This window comes from Homo sapiens, chromosome X (genome assembly GCF_000001405.40).
Source record: "Homo sapiens chromosome X, GRCh38.p14 Primary Assembly".
NCBI lineage: Eukaryota > Metazoa > Chordata > Mammalia > Primates > Hominidae > Homo > Homo sapiens.
Window position 1 is genome coordinate 10606962 of NC_000023.11, and position 18781 is coordinate 10625742.

Below are 18781 nucleotides of genomic sequence, written 5' to 3' on the forward strand. Positions count from 1 at the left end.
GGCTCAAGCAATCCTCCCACCTTGGCCTCCCAAAGTGCTGGAGTTACAGGTGTGAACCACAACAGTGCCAGATCCAATTTGTATTTTAAAGCATTGAATATAAGCTCTTTAAGAAACAAAGGCTGATATCGTTCTCTGTTAACCACTAATCTTCAGCCATAACTTGCAGAAACAGATTTAGAGATTGGTAGTTATCAGAAATGAACAGGTGGGCACCAAAACCTGATCCCCGCTGGTAAGGAGATTCTTATCAAGTTTCAGCAAACCCAGTGAGGTAACCTGAAGCCTGAGATTCTCCTTCTCTTCTGTCTACCCCAGTGATTCTCAAAGGGAGGTTTATTTTGCCCCCAGTAGACATTTTGCAATGTGCTGAGACATTTTTGGTTGTCACACTTTGGGGGCATGGGAGTGTTACTGGCATCCAGTTGCTTAAGGCCAGGGATACAGCTAAACATCCTACAGTGCACAGGACAGCCCCACAAATAATTATGAAACCCCAAATGTCAATAGTGCCAAAGTTGAGAAATCCTGACCCGGGAGAATCTAGACTGGATGTTGGGGAACATTTGGGATTGACGCCCACAGAGCCAGTGTATGTATGTCTGTGTATATGTATGTTTGTAGATTTACACACATCTACATGTATATTGACAATGAAGACAGATCATGCCCCTATTTAATTTATGCAAATGCAAAGGCAATGGAATATGTTGGAAAAGGGGAGAGGAATTTAAATAGTCTTAGCAATTTTTCCTGATACCTAATGTGTCTATTCCTAAAGTGAAGTTAGGTGTTGGGGCGTGCATCTGCCATGTCTTGAGCAAGTAACAATTCTCTGAGTGTCTCAGAGTATAAATTGAAGCCCAGTCTAATGTTCGGATATATTTTGCACAACACAGTTTCTTTTTTGCTCTCAATATTTCAGTTAAGGTTCAACAAAAAAGGCAGCAATCATAGATATTTTTGACAATTCAGTCATGTACCAAGATAGGCCCATATTATGTGTGAGAATTTTACCTGGGAGGTATTGAACACACCCAAACTGGATTATGAAGTATCTTCTGCACTTTTTGAAAACCAATACAAATGAGACACCACTACACACCTACCAGAATGGCTAAAATGAAAACAGGGACAACACCAAATGCTGGGGAGGATGCAGAGAAAGCTGGGTCACTGATACATTTCTGGTGGGGATGTAAAATGATTCAGCCACTCTGCAATACGCTTTGGCAGTTTCTTACAAAACTGAATGTGTACTTGCCATATGACCCAGCAATTGCACTCCTGGGCATTTATCCCAGAGAAATGCAAACTTACAGTCATACAAAATCCTACACACAAATGCTCATAGCAACTTTGTTTGTAATAGCTCCAAAGTCCTTAAACAAGTTGATGATTAAACTGTCATATATCCACACCAAGGAACATTACTCAGCAATAAAAAGGAAAAAACGACTGATACATGCAACAACTTGGATAAACCTCTAGAAAATTAAGTGAGCGGGAAAAAATGTCAATCTCAAACAATTGCATACTGTATGATTACGTTTATATTCTTGAAGTAGCACAATTATAGAGATGGAGAACAGATGATTACTGGTTTCTGGGGGTTAGGGATGGGGTAAGGGGTGGGTAAAGGGTGCAGACTGCCCAGTACATTTTTTTGCAACTTCCTATGGATCTGTAATTATTTCAAAATACAATTTTTAAAATTATGTTTCTGTAACAACACAGCCCTGGGAAACAAGATCACCCAAATGGTCTCATTCACAGTGGTAGAGTTGTTTTAAAGACCAGTGTTATATTCTCAGCCCTCAGCACCATGCCCTCTAAAATGCATTTTTTCCATTTCTACCTTTTGTATTTACTGCTGTGTTTATTTTTTTGTTTTAAAGACAGAAATACATAAACATGAGTATAAGTGTAATTTTATTTCTAGGTATAGCTGTAAGTATAAGGTGTGTAACATTGTAAAAGAGTTTAATTGTTGTAAAGAATAAGATAGATGAAGGAAAAATATGCTTTTTTGGATTATAATATGAAAGGTAGTGATAAGTGATCATGTCCATTTAATACTATTTGGTGTTGTTTTAGCATATTAGGATAATTTGTCCGAAAAGGGTACATTTTTAGCAACAAATTAGTTTTCTTACATTACAGGGATATTTATACATATACATGCACACGTGCATACACACACACACACACACACACATTTGTCTAAAGAGATGCTTTTGAATCATTACAGCCATTTCAGATATTATTCCACCGTGTGTACATATGTGTATATTTACATGCCTCTGTGTGGGTGGATGTGTATTCATTCAGAGGGTAAGAGGTAGAAATGTCCATAAAACCCAGCCTTCTCTGAAACCTTAAGTTTGTACCTAAAAAAAGAGAAGTTAACCTAACATTTTTAAGTGCCTAGTATGTAACCAATACTCTGTTAAGTGCTTTATATATCATTTATATATATAATCCTTCATTTAGTGATTATTCTATAAACCCTGTGAGTTGTCCACATCATTTCAATTTTACAGGTGAGGAAACTTGGGAAGTTTAAGGAATCAACCCAAGGTCACAGAGTTAAGATGTGGCACGTTAGGGTCTTTACTCGAGGGTCTCTGATAGTGTGCTTCTAAGTCTACTGCCGGGAGTGATTCTCTTACTAAATAGTAGTTTTATCATTGTCAAAAAAACCCATCAAACATCGTTGTACTAGACCTGGCATTTTCTTTCTTTCTTTCTTTCTTTTTTTTTTTTTTTTTTTTGAGACTGAGTCTCGCACTTTGGCCCAGGCTGGAGTGCAGTGGCGCGATCTCGGCTCACTGCAAGCTCCGCCTCGCGGGTTCACGCCATTCTCCTGCCTCAGCCTCTAGAGTAGCTGGGACTACAGGCGCCCGCCACCATGCCCGGCTAATTTTTTTGTATTTTTAGTAGAGACGGGGTTTCACCGTGTTAGCCAGGATGGTCTCGTTCTCCTGACCTCGTGATCCGCCCGCCTCGGCTTCCCAAAGTGCTGGGATTACAGGCGTGAGCCACCGCGCCCGGCCTTCTTTTTGTTTTTCTAAACAGAGGATATGAGCAGACATTGCACAAGAAATGCAAATAGACCTTCAACACATGCAGAGACACTCAACGTCACTCAGAAGAGAATGCAAAGCTACACAGAGATGCCGCTTTTCAGATATCAGATAGGCAAAGGTGCACAAGTTGGACAATGCTCTCTATTGATGAGGCTCTGGGGCAGTGCTCTCACACAGGCTGGTTAGACAATGTTATTTATTTATCAAAATTAGAAACTGCATTTGCCCTTTGGCCCAGCAATCCCACTTCTGGGGATTTTTAATACAGATACATCCGCCCCATACAAACTGATGAACACAACGTTTTTCAGTGCACATTGCTTTAATGGCAAAATATTGGACACACTCCACGTGACTAGTAGGGGAAGGGTCAAATCAATTATGGTACATCGTCATAGTGCAATGATATGCAGTTTTGTTTTGTTTTTAAAGAGGAAGCTCTCTGTGGACTGTTATGGAAAGATCTCTAGGGTATACTCTAAAGCAGAAAAAAGCCAGGGTGAAGAATAATGTATGTGAAAGGCCACTATTTGTGTAAGAGGAGGGAAATATATTTACATTTGCCTACAACAAGCAGAAAAATTGCTGTAGAAATTGATATCACAACAGGAGACACATGGTATACTATAATTCACAACTTTGGGCAGCTTGGGAATGACGATGTTTACATACCAATTAGGGACTCAAGAAATCCTATAAAGTTTTTCTTCAGGATCCTAGTATTCAAATTAGCATAAGGATCAGACATGGAATATAATCTCTGAGGTGAATGTTTCAAACAATGTTTGAAGCCCCCTGGGATCACACAATTAGGAGTTGTGCCTATCTCAATTACTTTCATACTGTTTCTTTACATGATCCAATGCTAATCAACAATTTACCTGGTTAAAATTTAGTTGGTTTGGTTATGCTCTGAAGAGGACACTCCCTTCTTATGTTTTCTGCACTCAGGCAGGAGACTTGTAAAGGAGCTAACAACAAAGGGATTTTTAACCTTCAAAGCCTTAATTAGAAAATAAGAGCAAATGGTACATTTTTAAAGAGGAACCAGGAATACATATTCTTGTGGGCTTTTGCCTCATTACATTTGTTAATAAGGAATGCCAAAACATGTGCACCAAAAAGCGTTCAAGGTCTTTTGGTAGTAAATTATACTTGTAAATTTGATGTAAGTTGATCACTTGAAGAACTCACACTCTTTGAAGATTAGAATTCATAAATGTATGAAAGAATTAAATGGTTCTTTCCTCTAGTGATATAAAGTATTAAATGACAGAAAAAAATGTGTTCGAAATCAACTGCGGAAATAATTCATTTTGAAAAGTATTCAATAAAAATGTTAAATGGGAAAAATATGCTAAGCCCGTTTCTGCTGGATGAAGAAGTAAAGCAGAAACATGAAAAGGGCAAATTTAAGGATGATGGGCTGGGAAATGTCCCATCAGCCTCACAGTTTTACTTTTTGTTATTCAACTATGGCAGTTCTAGGCCCAGTAATCTATTCCATCCCCATAAGACAAAGAAAAAAAGACTAATTCTGATCAGCAGAAAACTGGATGGCCTCTAGGAACCTTCAAGAGGGCAGTAGCTCCGGATCAAGGAGAAATGAATGCCTTTAAAGAGGCATCTTAGATTGTTTTGTTAATACATAAAATCCTCTCTCTTTATCATGCAGAAGTCTCATTTCAAAAGGAAAATGCAAGTCAATGAGGATTAGTTTGGCTCCTCAGAGGTCAGAACTAAATATACAAAAACTAATAATATGACACTGAAATAAACAAGAATGTGGAATTGCTCATCCGAAGGGATGATGTAACTAATATTGACATAATTTCCAAGCAGAAAAGCAAAACTAGGTCAAAGCACGATGGCCTAACATAATAAGCATTTTTGTTTCCAGATTTTTACCATGTAGGCTGTGTCTGCAGGCATTAATGTCTTCTGTTATCAATGTTCGGGGCTGTCACAAACAATTCATGTCTTATCACTCTTTGTTAGTTAAACCAAAACAATGTAGTTTATATGTGAACCATTCAATTCTGACAGCTGAAATGTTAGAAAGCGGAGAAATATTCAGAAAGTGTCTCTTCCAGACTGAGAAGCATCAAGCAATAAATATTCATTATCTAATAGTCTATCATGTTTTTATCTACTCAGAAAGTCATACCCCTCTCAATTAATTATTATGACTGTTTTCCCTCTTTTAGTCAGAGCCGTACAAAAAGGGCAGCAACAATCTCATTAGGATTTCACTTTAAACATTGACCACTGAAAAGGAACTCAAGTGAATCACTCACCAAATAGCCAATTTTTCTCTACCGCTTTCCCCATCATATGTTGACTAAAAGAAGTCACGCTTTCTTCTCTCGTCTATTTGTTCCATTTTACCTTCCTGCACTATTTCCTCAAAGCACAGCTGATTAATTCATGGGCTAAATGACTCATCTCATTCCCTAAACTTTCTTTTATATAAATATAATCCTCCTAGTTTTTGCTGTCTGACATTTTCATACTTAACTAAAATCAGAGCAAAGAATATACACATAAAAGAAGCACAAAACCCAAATATAAGATCATTTAACTATTTGGATTTTTTGGACAGTATTTTCCACTAAAGATGATGTAGTCTTTCCTGAGTTGCCTCATTATAAACCAACATTCCATTCAAATTGCCTTGGAATTTATTAGCATATTGAATTATAGCACATGACCTGAAAACATCCAAATTATATCTTAGTAGAAGGCATGTGGTACAGTCACAAAAGAGAATGAGATGGGGAGTCTAGAAGACTTAGCTTCTAGGTGTAGAACCTAAGTCTCCCTCATACCTTGCTCCCAGATGGAGGGTAAAGTGTTTCTTGTGCTAAAACGTCAACCCAGAAATGCTAAACTTTAACCAGTATTCTTAGTCTGGATTCCTAATGTATTTCGTACAGAAGACTTGATCCTATGTAAGTAAATAAATCTCTATTAATAATATTTGGTGGTGCCGTCCATCTATATATTGCTTTATTTGGCCATTCATCTACTTATTATTAACTCAGCAGGGCATTCAATGAATTCCATTTTCCCAGTAACATCCCCCTTCCTCCGAATTGTTTGGGGAAGACCACTTCTAAATACACACAACCAAAGCAACACTCCAAAACTTGACATAGGACAGATACCACAGTCTACCGCATAGACCCTTTGGTAATATATTAGTCCTGTTGTTTCCATAAACTATTAAATGTCCCTGAAATTTCTATTTTGTCATTTTTAACTATAACTTCTGGTCTGTTACACCTACCAGCAATGAAAATGCTTTGTCCGGCACAAATCTTGAACTTCACTATGAAAAATGTGGCCACCATCTACATGGAGAAGGCTTCAGTCTTCTCTCAGACACGCTATCTCAGTTCTGGAGTAACCTTGGGCATGCCACTCACCTGCAAAATTAAACAACTGCACATGGACCTAAGGCCTAAACTATCAGGCTGGGTTCAATGAGAGAAAGCAGCAGATTCTATCTTGGCGATTAGGCTTTGAGCTATTGGAGGGCATGACCCATTTCGTAATCATTTCTGCAGAACAATCAAACAGAGGATAAGCCAAGCTGCTTACCATGTTTTGGGTTGTGTTCTTGCCCAGAACACAACTGAAAGGAATATATATATATATATATATATATATATATATATATAGAGAGAGAGAGAGAGAGAGAGAGAGAGAGAGAGAGACAGACAGACAGACAGACAGACAGAGAGAGACTATGTGTATATAAATGGACTATATATATATAAAACCATATACATATAGTTCAGTAATCATAACCTATGCTAATTTTCTCTACTACTGATCTATTTAGTCCTTGCTGTTTCCCGGACCTTTCTAATGCCCTTTCTTCTTCATATCCCTTCGGATTTTAAGGAGCATTTTCCATTCTCTTTTTTACTAAAATTCACCCAGCATGTGCCTGTAGAACACTTAATGATTCTTATTGTGTGCCAGACACTGGGCTTGGGTCTGGGGATTCAAAGGTAATTAATATGTGACTCTTGCTCTGGAGTAACTCAGTTCCAAGATAAGCAGACAAACGAGTAGAAATATATACACCAACTCAAATACTCGTGTGGATAAGAGGATGCTACAGCTATTTTCTTTCCATTTATTCTAATCCAAGTAGACAGTGCTCAGCATACAAAGAGCATACTTACAAACAACCCAAACCCACAAACGCCATAATTCCCTCTCAACTGGGGGCCTGTGGCTCCCTGGCTGTTACTCACAAAGACCCTAGTGGGTCCAGAAGTTCAGGCAGGTTGCTGAGAAAGAACAAATGAAGAGGTCTGACCCACGGGCAGACACACCAGCAAGTTCTGTCTGCCAAAGGCATGGCCCTGCCCCCAAATATTGTCCCTGAAAGGAAAATCATGTGTTTTGTAGCTCCAGGCTCCACTGCTTGAAATTTCCCCAATTAAAGATTCATCCTAAGGGTTAAAGGGATAAGAGTCATGAGCTTTGGCTCACCCATATTACTTCTTTCCTGCCATGTGGTAGAGACCATTGACTAAAGGAAACAGGAGAGTGGTTTGGAGGTGGGGAAGGGAAGGGTGGGAAGATGAACAATTATGAATTCACTATATATTAGGACAGGCCTGGGGGAGATGCCCCAGTGAGACCAGAAGACATCAGAAGGATGGAGAAAGAAAGGTGAAAACTAGTACGAACTTCCTATTTCAAATATTGCCATGACTGGCCTATTACCAAAAGTATGCCAATTCTTTCTCCTTCTGTTTCCATCCTGTATAACACAGTGGCATGTCCTCAAAACACAGAACTTGATCTCACATTAATCAGATTGATTATTTTTCGCTGGAAAATGCTCTGGGTTTCAAACAACAAACTCCTAAAACATAAAGTATTCCTAGATTGGGGACTACCTATGAGTTACTTTTCTCTATTGAGAAAAATAAATTACTATTTAATAATTATGAGAAATCTGCTTTATGTAAGAAGTCATAAATTTCTACAAATGGACATGTGGGCTAAAAATCAACTAAATTTCACAATTACAAATCACTTCTCAAGTCTCCTAAGTTCAGTAAGGTTTTGGATACCATCAGTTTTTCAAGTGGATCCCTACCCATACAAATATAGATATTAATGAGCATCCATTTTGACCATGGAAAAACCTACATTATGCTACTGGTACAATAAATTGTACACCAGATCAAAAGTTCTTTGAGGGCAGGGGCCTTACCAAAGTCATATTTGGAACCCAGAAAGTGCCCTGGCACATTAATAATCACGTATAATGTGGCAGAATATATTAATTCTGTGAGTGCTCAGTAAATGTCATTGAATGATATAAGAAAGGAAGGACAGCCTTTATATTATATTCATCATAAACACTGGACTGAATATAAGACCTTCAACATCCACTTGTACTACAAATGATCAGCACCTCTTCCATGTTTACTCAGAACCTCTCTTTCATAGCGCAAAGCAGGTAAGTTATTTTCTTTGGTCTGGTTTGTTTTTTCAGGAAAGTCCCCTCTTGGCATTTTGTTCTGCGCCTCAATTTTCTGTGCTCCTACTATCACCTGACCTCCTGGAGGCCATTAACCATCCTGATCTTGTGTCAATGGAATATTTTCCTCCAGAGGGGGAAAAATATTTCGGATCCAGATGGCTCCCTAATATTGTGTCCTTTTTAGTTTAAAGAAATTTTTATAACATGCCAGCTCATAAAACTGGGCAAACAAATTTCTAGAACAAAACCGCTGAGCTCACTTTTGTGTGAAATCAAAGGAATTGATAATGAGCCAGAATCTTCCCGATAAACTGCCTTACATGTAAACGGAGATTAGATTGCTGTTTGACCTGGCTTTATCGCCCTTTCTTTAATCACAGCGTATTTGATATTCTCTTCCTTGAATGAACTCATTTTCATAGTAGCTTTGGTCACAAGATTAAAGAATCGCTAACTAATTGTTCCAAATAAGCAGAGCAATTCTCTCTGACTCTGCCTCGGGCTCCCTGCAGTGAAGTCCGCTGCCTGATCTTCCGACCACGGGAACTTCAAGCCTGACCCCTGCAGGTAGATAACTGAAATGCACACCTCTAATCAGATCCTGGTCTTTCAAAGTCCCATCAAGTTCTGAAAATAAAAACGTTCATACTTAGTACAATAGGGATATTGATGATATTTATATGATATATTGTACTTCCTTTTCATTGTATAAATTGCTTTTGGAAAGTAGCAACCACTTGTTTAAAAATAATTAAATTACGTCTGCAAGATACTCTGGTGCGCTTAGCCATTACTTCTTTTTGCCTATTGAGAAAAATCCAAATGATTTGATTGAACTGGGATCCTCAAATCATGTGGGTTAAAAATGTCCTGATTTGCCCCTACCTTTTTCTAATCAAACAAATTACTCTTTGTCCAGTAACTAAATCCCCTCCTTTCACCAACGCACAGCCCAGGTTGCCATAGCTACCTTGGATGTCTATTTACCACACAAACGATCAAAGCCAGGAGACATCCACATATGCACTTAGCCTTAAAACTTGCTGGAATGTCTGTGGATAACATGCAACTACCAATTAACGGATTTGCTTGTAGCCTATGCGGTCTACAGCCAAGCGAACTAAAAACATGACTCAAAAAAATTATTTCAAAATGACCAACAAGGATCTTTAAACTGACAGCAAGTCTTATGATTATAACATTTGCTGAAAGAGAGATAGCAGAGAAGAAATTAAAATTTTAACATATGTTGAAGACACTGAGCTCTATAAACCATGTGCAAAAACTTAAAACATCTGTTGAAAGGGAACATTTCTCAGATGCATATTTAAAATTCCAGTTAGTTACTGTATCTTTCTATTAGATTTCATAAAAGCTGCCTGATCTCAATGTTGGGAGAAATGAGAACAGAACTGCCTTTTGAACTGTTAAGAGTCTGGACTTTCAAATGAAGGAAACCATACAACATACTTGGGACACAATATACTTGCCAGTTACAGAATGATAAGAAAAAGAATGTCGTAAGAGAGATTCTGTTTTAATCCCTAGAATGCCATTTGAGATCCTAAACCTGCACAGGTAGTCTTTCTGGGTGGGTGAGTATTCATCCCCAGACTTGCCCCTAACTTGCTGTGTCTCTTTATACTTAACCTTTCTCTGCCTTCGTCTCACCATTTGTTCAATGAGGATCAAATTGCCACCTCATTCTCTCCTGGGGATGTGGCAGAGAATAAATAGATCGTGTTTGTAAAGGACTTTCTAATCCTCAGAGGAAAGATTAATACGAAGACTTTCATTATTAAGCCAGATGTCCTTGGGCATTTTAATTCCAATCTAAAGAATGCAGAACGGGCTAACCAAACAGATTCACGGCTTCCTTGAAACAGCAGCATCCTGGCCTTGCAAGAATTTAGCAGCTACGTGACTTACTTTGTTTTAGTAGATCAGAAATACATCATGCACCTTCTTCCCTTAGAGTTTTTTTTCTAAAGTTATCAGGATGTTAAAAACACAAAATATGTCTAGTAGGCAATTTTGCCTAGAGAATCTGATTTTTCCCCCAGCTCAAGAATGAACTATTTGTTCTTCTTGTGTGTAGGGACAATGGGTGGCTTGCCATGTGGGGAGGATATATGCAGTTGCGGGAATGCCACAGGCAAACCTGTTGTTTTCGGCCAGGCTTCTAGAACAGGTGGCCATGCTTTTCCTTTTGCCTGGGAACAGAGCAAATTCCTTCTCAAGGAAGGTTCATAAAAGTTTCCCGTTTATGATCAGAGGGCAGAGACAGGTTGGCACATATTTTAAAATTACTTCCTGATCAAGGTGAATCAGATTTACACTTTTCTTTGGCCTAACTCAGCCGTGGCCTTAGGAACCCTCAAAGAATACTATCCTTCTACACCTGAAGTGGTGGCTTCAGGAATGTTCCTTTTCTGCCAACCTGGCAGAAGCCCAAACCCCTCTGAATCTTATAGCTAGGCAAACAGCCTTCTAATTCTGCGGGCAATTTCTGGCTACCCAGAATTTCTGGCTATCAGTGGCAGGCAGGGGTCTCTTCTGGGCTGCCACACCAGTGTACAACATTTGTGCAGCCCTAGGGACAGATCACTCATCAGCAAAGAGATCCAATTTCATTGCTGAGCTGATGACACACAGGTCTGTTTGATAGTTAACCCTGTAAATCCAGCTGGAGCTGCCGGGCTGAGATGACAAATTGGCTGGTGAATTCGACTCACCCTGCCTGGATGCAACAGTCAGGTTTCCCCAAGAGAAACTCAAATAAAGTAGGGATTAACCCATGCCAATAACACTGCCATCTCATTCCTCCCTACATTCTTGTTCTGACTGCAGTGGAACAACATGCTAGATTCTGGAAACTGTCCTCGTTCTTTGGATGAACAATGATCCTGTCTCTCTCCTTCATCTCCTCCCCTGTTCCATCCCACCCTCTTTCAAAGTTCTGAACAGGCCAAAAAAATTAGTAGACATACGTAGCTGTGAGATGAAAAGTTGCCCATTCATTAAATAACTAAGGAGTTCACTATATGTGTACTTGTACCCCTAAAATTTCAATACTGGGCTGTTTTCCAACTTCACGTAAATGCCACAACAAACTAGGCATGGGAAAAACCATTCCAAGCTGGGGGAAGCAAACCTTAGGCATAAGGCACGGAGACTGCCATGGTTCCTGAGGAATTGTGTGGGAACAGGGATTCTGGAAATTGAGCTCAGACACCACCGAGGAGAGGACAGGTGGCTCTGCACAGGATCAAATAACTTCTTTGTTCCAGCTAAGGACCTTTGTCAAAAATGTTTTGCGTTCCTCTTTTTCCTTTTCAATCCTTTCCAATTACCCTTCTCCTTCCTTTTCCTCATCCCACTTTAGTAGACATTAAAAGTATGAGGTTGGACTGTGAGTTTGCAGAACTTAAAGACGTCCTCCCCACAGTCCCTACCAAGGCAAGGGCAATTCATTGCAAGCAGACGGCACTTGCTCCTCCGCAAGTGTTTTTCTGCACTCACTGAAACTTGCCAAGCCTGCTTGCTGAGCGAACAAGCGAGGGGGCAAGAAGGCGGAGGGTTTGCGCTGACCATTCGAAGGGGGCTCTGCTTCATCTCCCAAGGCTGTGGGAAAGGGACAGAAAGTTCGAAACCCCTCCCCTGCGCTCTTAAATGGAAAGCTCACTTCCCCCAAAGTGTGCAGGGTGGCGAGCACCCAACCCACTTAGAAGAAAAAGTGAAGAGCTTTTCCGGTTGCGATACAGATGCTAACTTTCCCATCCAGATTTATTCAGAGCTGGTAAAAGCAATAGCATTCCTCTTGAAATCCCTGCCCTTCCAAGCCTATTGGCATGTTTTTCCAGCCTTGTTTTCTCCTTATATGAGTATTGTTCTTGATATTTAAATATTGACATAAAATTCTTCCATAACTTTGATTGAGTTGTAAATCACACCCTCTCCTTGGCTTCCTACATCCACTTTTTCTTTCCTTTTCTTGCTTAACAGCAAAGCTATAAACCTCTTCCTGGACTGATAAGGAATTTTATCATCATGCCCCAGAGCCACAGAAGAAGCTGTTGGTTTAGAATTCTTTTCAAAGACTCATTTAAGTAATCCCCCAGCCCTTTCTCCGCTCACTACTTTCAGGGCTGCCTTCTCACGTCCAGAAGCAATACAGTTTCCAAACTGCTAGAACAGAAAAACAAATTTGCATTTTTCTGGAAGGACTGTCTGTGCTCATTTCAAGCTGGTTCCGCCTTCTCCGCCAGAAACACAGTAAGTGCTCAGAATGCGAAACCAAAATGAGATAAGAGGCCCCGTGAAATTCTTTTTCAGGACATTCAGCTGTCTTTATTCTAGCCCAAAGCATAGGGTAGAGGCACTAAAAGCTCGAGATACATCCTGCACGATACATTCCAGCGGCCGCAAACTGGAATTGATTTACATATATTCTACAAACTGCTTGTAAGCCCTTTACAACGACTGCCTGACATCAACCACAATTAGAGGCAAAAGTGGGGGCGGGTGGCGAGGACCAGACCGGGGTGGCTCAGGTAAAATGTGCTTCTTTGGTTGTCTTAGGAAAATGCAGCCCCGTCTTTCCGCCAAACGCATCGACTACGGCCAGGCGCCTGCTAACCCAGCAAGCTCTCCGCAGTAACACGTCGCAGGGGTCCCGGGCGGCGCCCGCCCCCTCCGCCGCCAGCGCAACCGCCTGAGCTTACCTGCCTCATGTTTAGAATCCCATGACCCATCCGGCAGGGAGCGAGCTGCATCGGAGCCCGCGTCGCAGTCTTCAGAGCGGAAACACCGAACCCGACAGGAGCCCGCAAGACAAAAGCAACCCGGCGAAATCTACGGGCAGCAAAGAGCACGTTTTCGTCCTCTTTTTCTTTGATCTGTTGCTACACGCACTCTGCTCGAGACAATGTCAAGTTTCTCAACCTTTTCTCCCCCAGCCTATGAAAAGTCGGTCGCAGGGAAGCGAGGACCGCCTGGCTCTTATTTCAAATCAGTTCTCAGAGACGTTGTAGGTGGCTGGCTTGGGCCGCGGAGGAGCTTCGCCAATCAGAAGCAAGGGGGTGGGTCCTGGGAGCCAGAAAGGCTGCCTCCGCGAGGATTAGGGGCGCTTTCGGGATTCAAATGACTGGAAGCAGCTGGAAACAATGTCCAAAGCTCCAAAAGTAAAGGATGAGTTCTATTCTTATCTAACAGCTCTAGTTCTGCTAAAAGCTTAACTAGCTAAGGGCCTTAAATCCTTGCATTTTAAGAGCTCCCTAACAGCATTAAAACATTTGGAAGGTGCAAAATTATTTCAGCCAGAAAAGTTCAACACTCAGGACCCAAGGGTATTTTTAAAAGGATATCTTGCACTGAAGCCCTACTTTTGCAAAAGACTGGAAAGGAAACCAAATTGTTATGAGTAACACCTTAACTAAAACGAACAATCCAGAAAGGAGGGTGTTACCTACCTCATCTGCATATAGATTAACTGTATATTCAATTTAAGAAAAATAAATCTTAATGGGAACGTGCACACAATTTTTTTGAAATGCAGCAAATGAACAAGAATCTTTACCTACTGAAGGCCCGAGGCATAATTTCAAATAACACTATTGTCATAGAACAATACACACTGACATTTTGTTCAGAAAAAAAAAAATTTAGTGCATCCACCTTTCTCTATGGTTTGGCTTCCCTACAGGGTTGATCTGTTGAACTTATTAACAGGGACAAGCTGGACATCACCTTGGCAGGATTGCAGGAGAGCTGGAGAAGTAGTTGGCTTCTTAGAAACAAACTCAGACCAAAAAAAATTTCCAAAGTTTGCTTTCTTAACTCCATATAAGCAATAACTTTTTTCAACTCTTAGCCAACATGATTTTAATGTAAATCTACCTTCTGGATTTCAAGAAAGTGCAAGTTGAGCAAAGAGTACTTTGTGTAGAACTAATGGCATATTTTCCCCCAAGAAATGACCGCAATTTTGTGACGATAATTCAATAAAGATTTTAAATGTGTTGGTATCAGAGGAAAAAAAATTACTTAGCAAATAATGCATTGGTGGCTTCAGGAGTGTCAGCTGCATGGGTTCAATACATGTGAGCTCTGCCCAGTTCTGTGAAAATTTGGTGGTCCGATAACTGGGCCTGGAAGCCCATAACGCTAGCCCCCTGCCTGAGTAGCCTAAGGAGCCACCTAGTGACACAAACTGACTTCAGTCCACTTCTTGTACTTTTCCTTGAGAGCCCTTCATATGATGGAGTTCAGGATTTCTCAATCTCAGCACTATTGACATTTTGGGCAGGATAATTCTTTGTCGTGAGGGCTGTCCTGTGCACTGTAAGATGTGTAGCAGCATCCCTGGATTCTGCACACTAGATGCCAGTAGCACCCCCACAATCGTGATGACCAATAATGTCTCCAGACATTACCAAATGTCTCCTGGGTGATGAAATCACGCTTTGAAAGGGTGGTTCTTAAACTTGAGGGTGCAAGGAAACCTCTGGGGAGATTGTTAAAAATGCAAATCTCCAGGCCCCTGCACCAAAATAATCTGATTCAGTAGGTTTGCTGAGGAGCCTGAGAATCAGCATTTTATCCCACTGACAAAGGACTCTGATTTACTTTGAGAAATATTGCGTCTATCCCAGCCCTAGGTATGCCCCAGCCACAGGACACAGGAAGCTACCCAGGGCTCCTGCCATTAAATACTGGAGCTTAATCCCATGGCACATCTGTTTATCACCTTCAGTAGAAGCTACAACTGCGTCTGCCTTCTGCTTTCATCACCTCAAAGGTAAATATGAGCTGGGATTTCCTCTCTCAAGGACTGAGCCCTTTTAATGTTCCTTCCATTTTTATTCTCCTTTGACTCACTCACCAACTATCCAACAATCTCAAATGTCACCACTCATTCGTGATTTCCCCAAATGCCCCAAGAAAAATTAATCCCTTCCATCTTCTATGCCCTTAAAGCAAAATACCCTTATAAAAGAGGTTTCAGAGAGCCTATTTGCCCCTTCTGCCATGTGAGGACACAGCAACAAGGAGCCACTGATGAAGCAGAGAGCCCTCGCCAGACACCAAATCTGCTGGCACCTTGATCTTGGATTTACCTGCCTCCAGAACTACGAGAAATAATTGTCTGTTGTTTATAAATGACCCAGTCTAAGGTACAGTATTTTGTTATAGCAGCCTGAACTAACACAGTGCCATAAAATATGCTGCCTCCATGTTTCAGAAAACCTCTAAAAAAAATGAAAGGTGGGGATACACAAAGTCTTTTTCATTTACAAATAAACAAATGGAAATGTTTAAAATTCTGAATGAAATAAATGGTCCTTTGGAGAATGTTCATTGAGTGAGGATTTGATCCACCTATTAGAAACAGTGAGGCCCGGTGAGGTGGCTCACACCTGTAATCCTAGAACTTTTGAAGGCCGAGGAGGGCGGATGATCGCTTGAGCTCAGGAGTTTGAGACCAGCCTGGGCAACATGGTGAAATGCTGTCTCTACAAAAAAAAAAAAAAAAAAATAGCTGGGCATGGTGGTGTGTGCCTGTAGTCTCAGGTACTTGGGGAGCTAAGACAGGAGGATCACTTGAACCCAGGAGGTCGAGGCTGCAGTGAGCCTAGGTTGTGCCACTGCACTCCAGCCTGGGCGACAAATAAGACCCCGAAAAAAAAGAAAAAAAAATAAAGAAAGGAAAGAAAGAAAGAAAAGAAAGAGAGAAAGAAAGAAGGAAGGAAGGAAGGAAGGAAGGAAGGAAGGGAAAAAGAAAAGAAAGGTGAAGTGAGTAAAAGAGCTTGCTCTACCAAACGAACAGATGTTCTGTTCCCAAATCTGTGATTAAACATGTTTGCAAATATTAGCTGAAGGGATGTTGGAAGTTTTGAAAGCTCTTCTTCAAAAAAAGCAGCCTAGTCGATAATCTTGTTAGTTATGTGCGGGTTTGGTTATTAACAGACCTTGTAGCAAACCTAACATAGGTTCTGGGTGGATAGTCCTGGACAGGCAGCGCTACTCAGACATGGACAGGCATTGCTGTGGCGCCCTTGGACGATACCTAACAGTATTTGTGCCACCTCTCTCAGTGATCTCATAGATCAAAGAACATGGAGTGAATGTTTGTGTAAGTAAAAAATGGCTGAATATCAGCAATTTCACATAGGTTATTTTAATGTGTGTCAGGACACATCAAAAGTCAATGAAAATCAAGCTGAAGTTGTCTATGCAGCCACCTGGACAGTGCCCAGTACAAGTGCACAGACTTTGGGAGCTATGAAAAGAGCATGTTTATTCTCCCTCAGAGGTTTCAGAAATCCAGTTGTTTTATTATCGGGACAGAGGGAAATGTATGGAATACCGTGTTCGAAGTGATTAGTAAAGGTAATTTAAGTTGACAACAACATGAGTCCCCACTTAGAAAAAAAAATCTCATCTATAATTCTTATAGAAAGTCACAAAAAGAGAAAAAAGTTTCTACTTCCTGTGTACAGGTACTCCTTAAATTAGTTTCTTTCAGTTGGTTAAGGGAAACAATGTGGCATACCACAAGGATGGGCCAAATAAGACTTGGAGTCAGTTTTCTGTGCTGACTTGGTCACTAACTGGCTAATAGACCTCAGATAAGCCAGTTGATACCTCTAAGCCCAAGATTTCTCAGGGGACAATTGCACAGCTTGAATAAATTCATATATTGGGAAGTGTGCCCAGTGCAATCGCTATTGCTTGTTGTGTAAATGTGTTGGATGACCAACACTGGAAAGAAGGGAAAAAATCTATGTAGTCAGAAATGTACCCTAAGCTTGTTGTTTCCTCACTAGAAAATTAAGGAATCAAAGCAAATCATGTCATTTTTAATGTTAATTAAACCTTACTATTTAATAATTCTATGCTTTTAAAGGTGAAATATTTTAACAGCATCTAGTTTGTCTTAAGATTAAATATAGCAGATTCTTCATTATCTGCCCTTGAGTAATCTGGTAAATGGTTTATGCATGAATTTTTAAGATTTTTATTTTATTTCATTTAACTTTATTACTTTTTTAAAATTTTTTTGAAACAGGGTCTCACTCTGCTGCCTAGGCTGGAGTGCAGTGGCATAATCTCGGCTCACTGCACCCTCAACCGTCTGGACTCAAGTGATTCTCCCACCTCAGCCTCCTGAGTAGCTGGCACCACAGGTGCATGTCACCATGCCTGGCTAATATTTTTTACTAATTTGTAGAGATGGGGGTCTTGCTATGTTGCCCAGGCTGGTCTTGAACTCCTGGGCTCAAGTGATCCTCCTGCTTCAGCCGCCAAAAATGGTTTATGCATGAATTTACCAAGGGCTTGTTATATCCTCCTCCTGTGGTCAAAATCTCCACTCCCAATTGAACTTTCTACTTCATTTCAATACAATAATATCATACTTCCCAAGAATAATTCTTCAATTTCTGTCATTTATTTTTTACTATAATTTTTTATTTAAATTTAAAGAGGAAAATTATTTAAATTAATTATTTTTTAAGTGATTGCCTGTATCAGTCAGGGCTCTCCAGAGAAACATAAAACAGGCTTATGTAACTATGGGGTCTGGCAAGTCTGACATCCATGGGGCAGGCTGGCAGGTGCGGACTCTGTAGACTTGAGGCAGAATTTCTCCTTCCTCAGGGAAACCTCGATTTTGCTGTAAAGGCTTTAACTAATGGGGTGTGGCCCACCTACATTATCAAGGATAATCTCCTTTACTGAAGTCAACTGATTGTAGATATTCACCATATATGTTCAATATACCTTCATGGCAACACCTTGATTAACATTTGGTTGAATAAGTGGGTACTACAGCCTAGCCAAGTTAACACATAAACCGTCACAAGGCCCATGCCCAAACATTTGTATATCCATTGCAACAACAAGCACAGAGTGTGTGGTCAGTCAATAAATGTTTACTGAGTTGTTGTGACTAATAATAATATTAATAATTTTAAAATCTCCATTAGTAGAAGGCCGTCTTCTTTATCAATAATGAAATTTTGCTAATCGATTTATTATGTACTTATCAACTGCAGTGCTGGAAGTTAAGAGCTCCATTTTATTTAATTTTGAGATTAAGTGATTTCTAGCTGACAGTTCTTTACCAAGTCATACTATCAATCAAATGTCAGAATATAATGCAATTGTTTTCATA

At 40.2% G+C, this 18781-nt stretch overlaps 1 protein-coding gene and 1 long non-coding RNA gene across 5 annotated transcripts in view, besides 1 other annotated feature; one reads left to right on the forward strand and one right to left on the reverse strand.

Moving 5' to 3' along the window:
- The window catches only part of MID1 (midline 1), a 388374-nt gene that overhangs the window by 161652 nt on the left and 207941 nt on the right, over nt 1-18781 (reverse strand). For 2 of the 4 annotated variants that reach the window (NM_033289.2, NM_000381.4), the window contains exon 1: nt 13329-13624. The exons of the other annotated variants lie outside the window; for them this stretch is intronic. The gene's annotated coding sequence lies outside the window, so the exon portion shown is untranslated. Of the gene's footprint in view, nt 1-13328; nt 13625-18781 lie in introns of those variants that run through there. 4 annotated transcript variants of the gene reach the window in all.
- Nucleotides 4146-5021: an enhancer, noted in NCBI's record as "OCT4-NANOG hESC enhancer chrX:10579147-10580022 (GRCh37/hg19 assembly coordinates)". NCBI's record gives its function as "activates a minimal SCP1, AML or CMV promoter by ChIP-STARR-seq in primed H9 embryonic stem cells {active_cell/tissue: H9 hESC(primed)}" and the evidence as "EXISTENCE:reporter gene assay evidence [ECO:0000049][PMID:30033119]".
- On the forward strand, nt 12740-15963 carry LOC124905245 (uncharacterized). The gene is made up of 2 exons (XR_007068391.1): nt 12740-12879; nt 13186-15963. It is a non-coding gene; the product is annotated as an uncharacterized LOC124905245 (long non-coding RNA).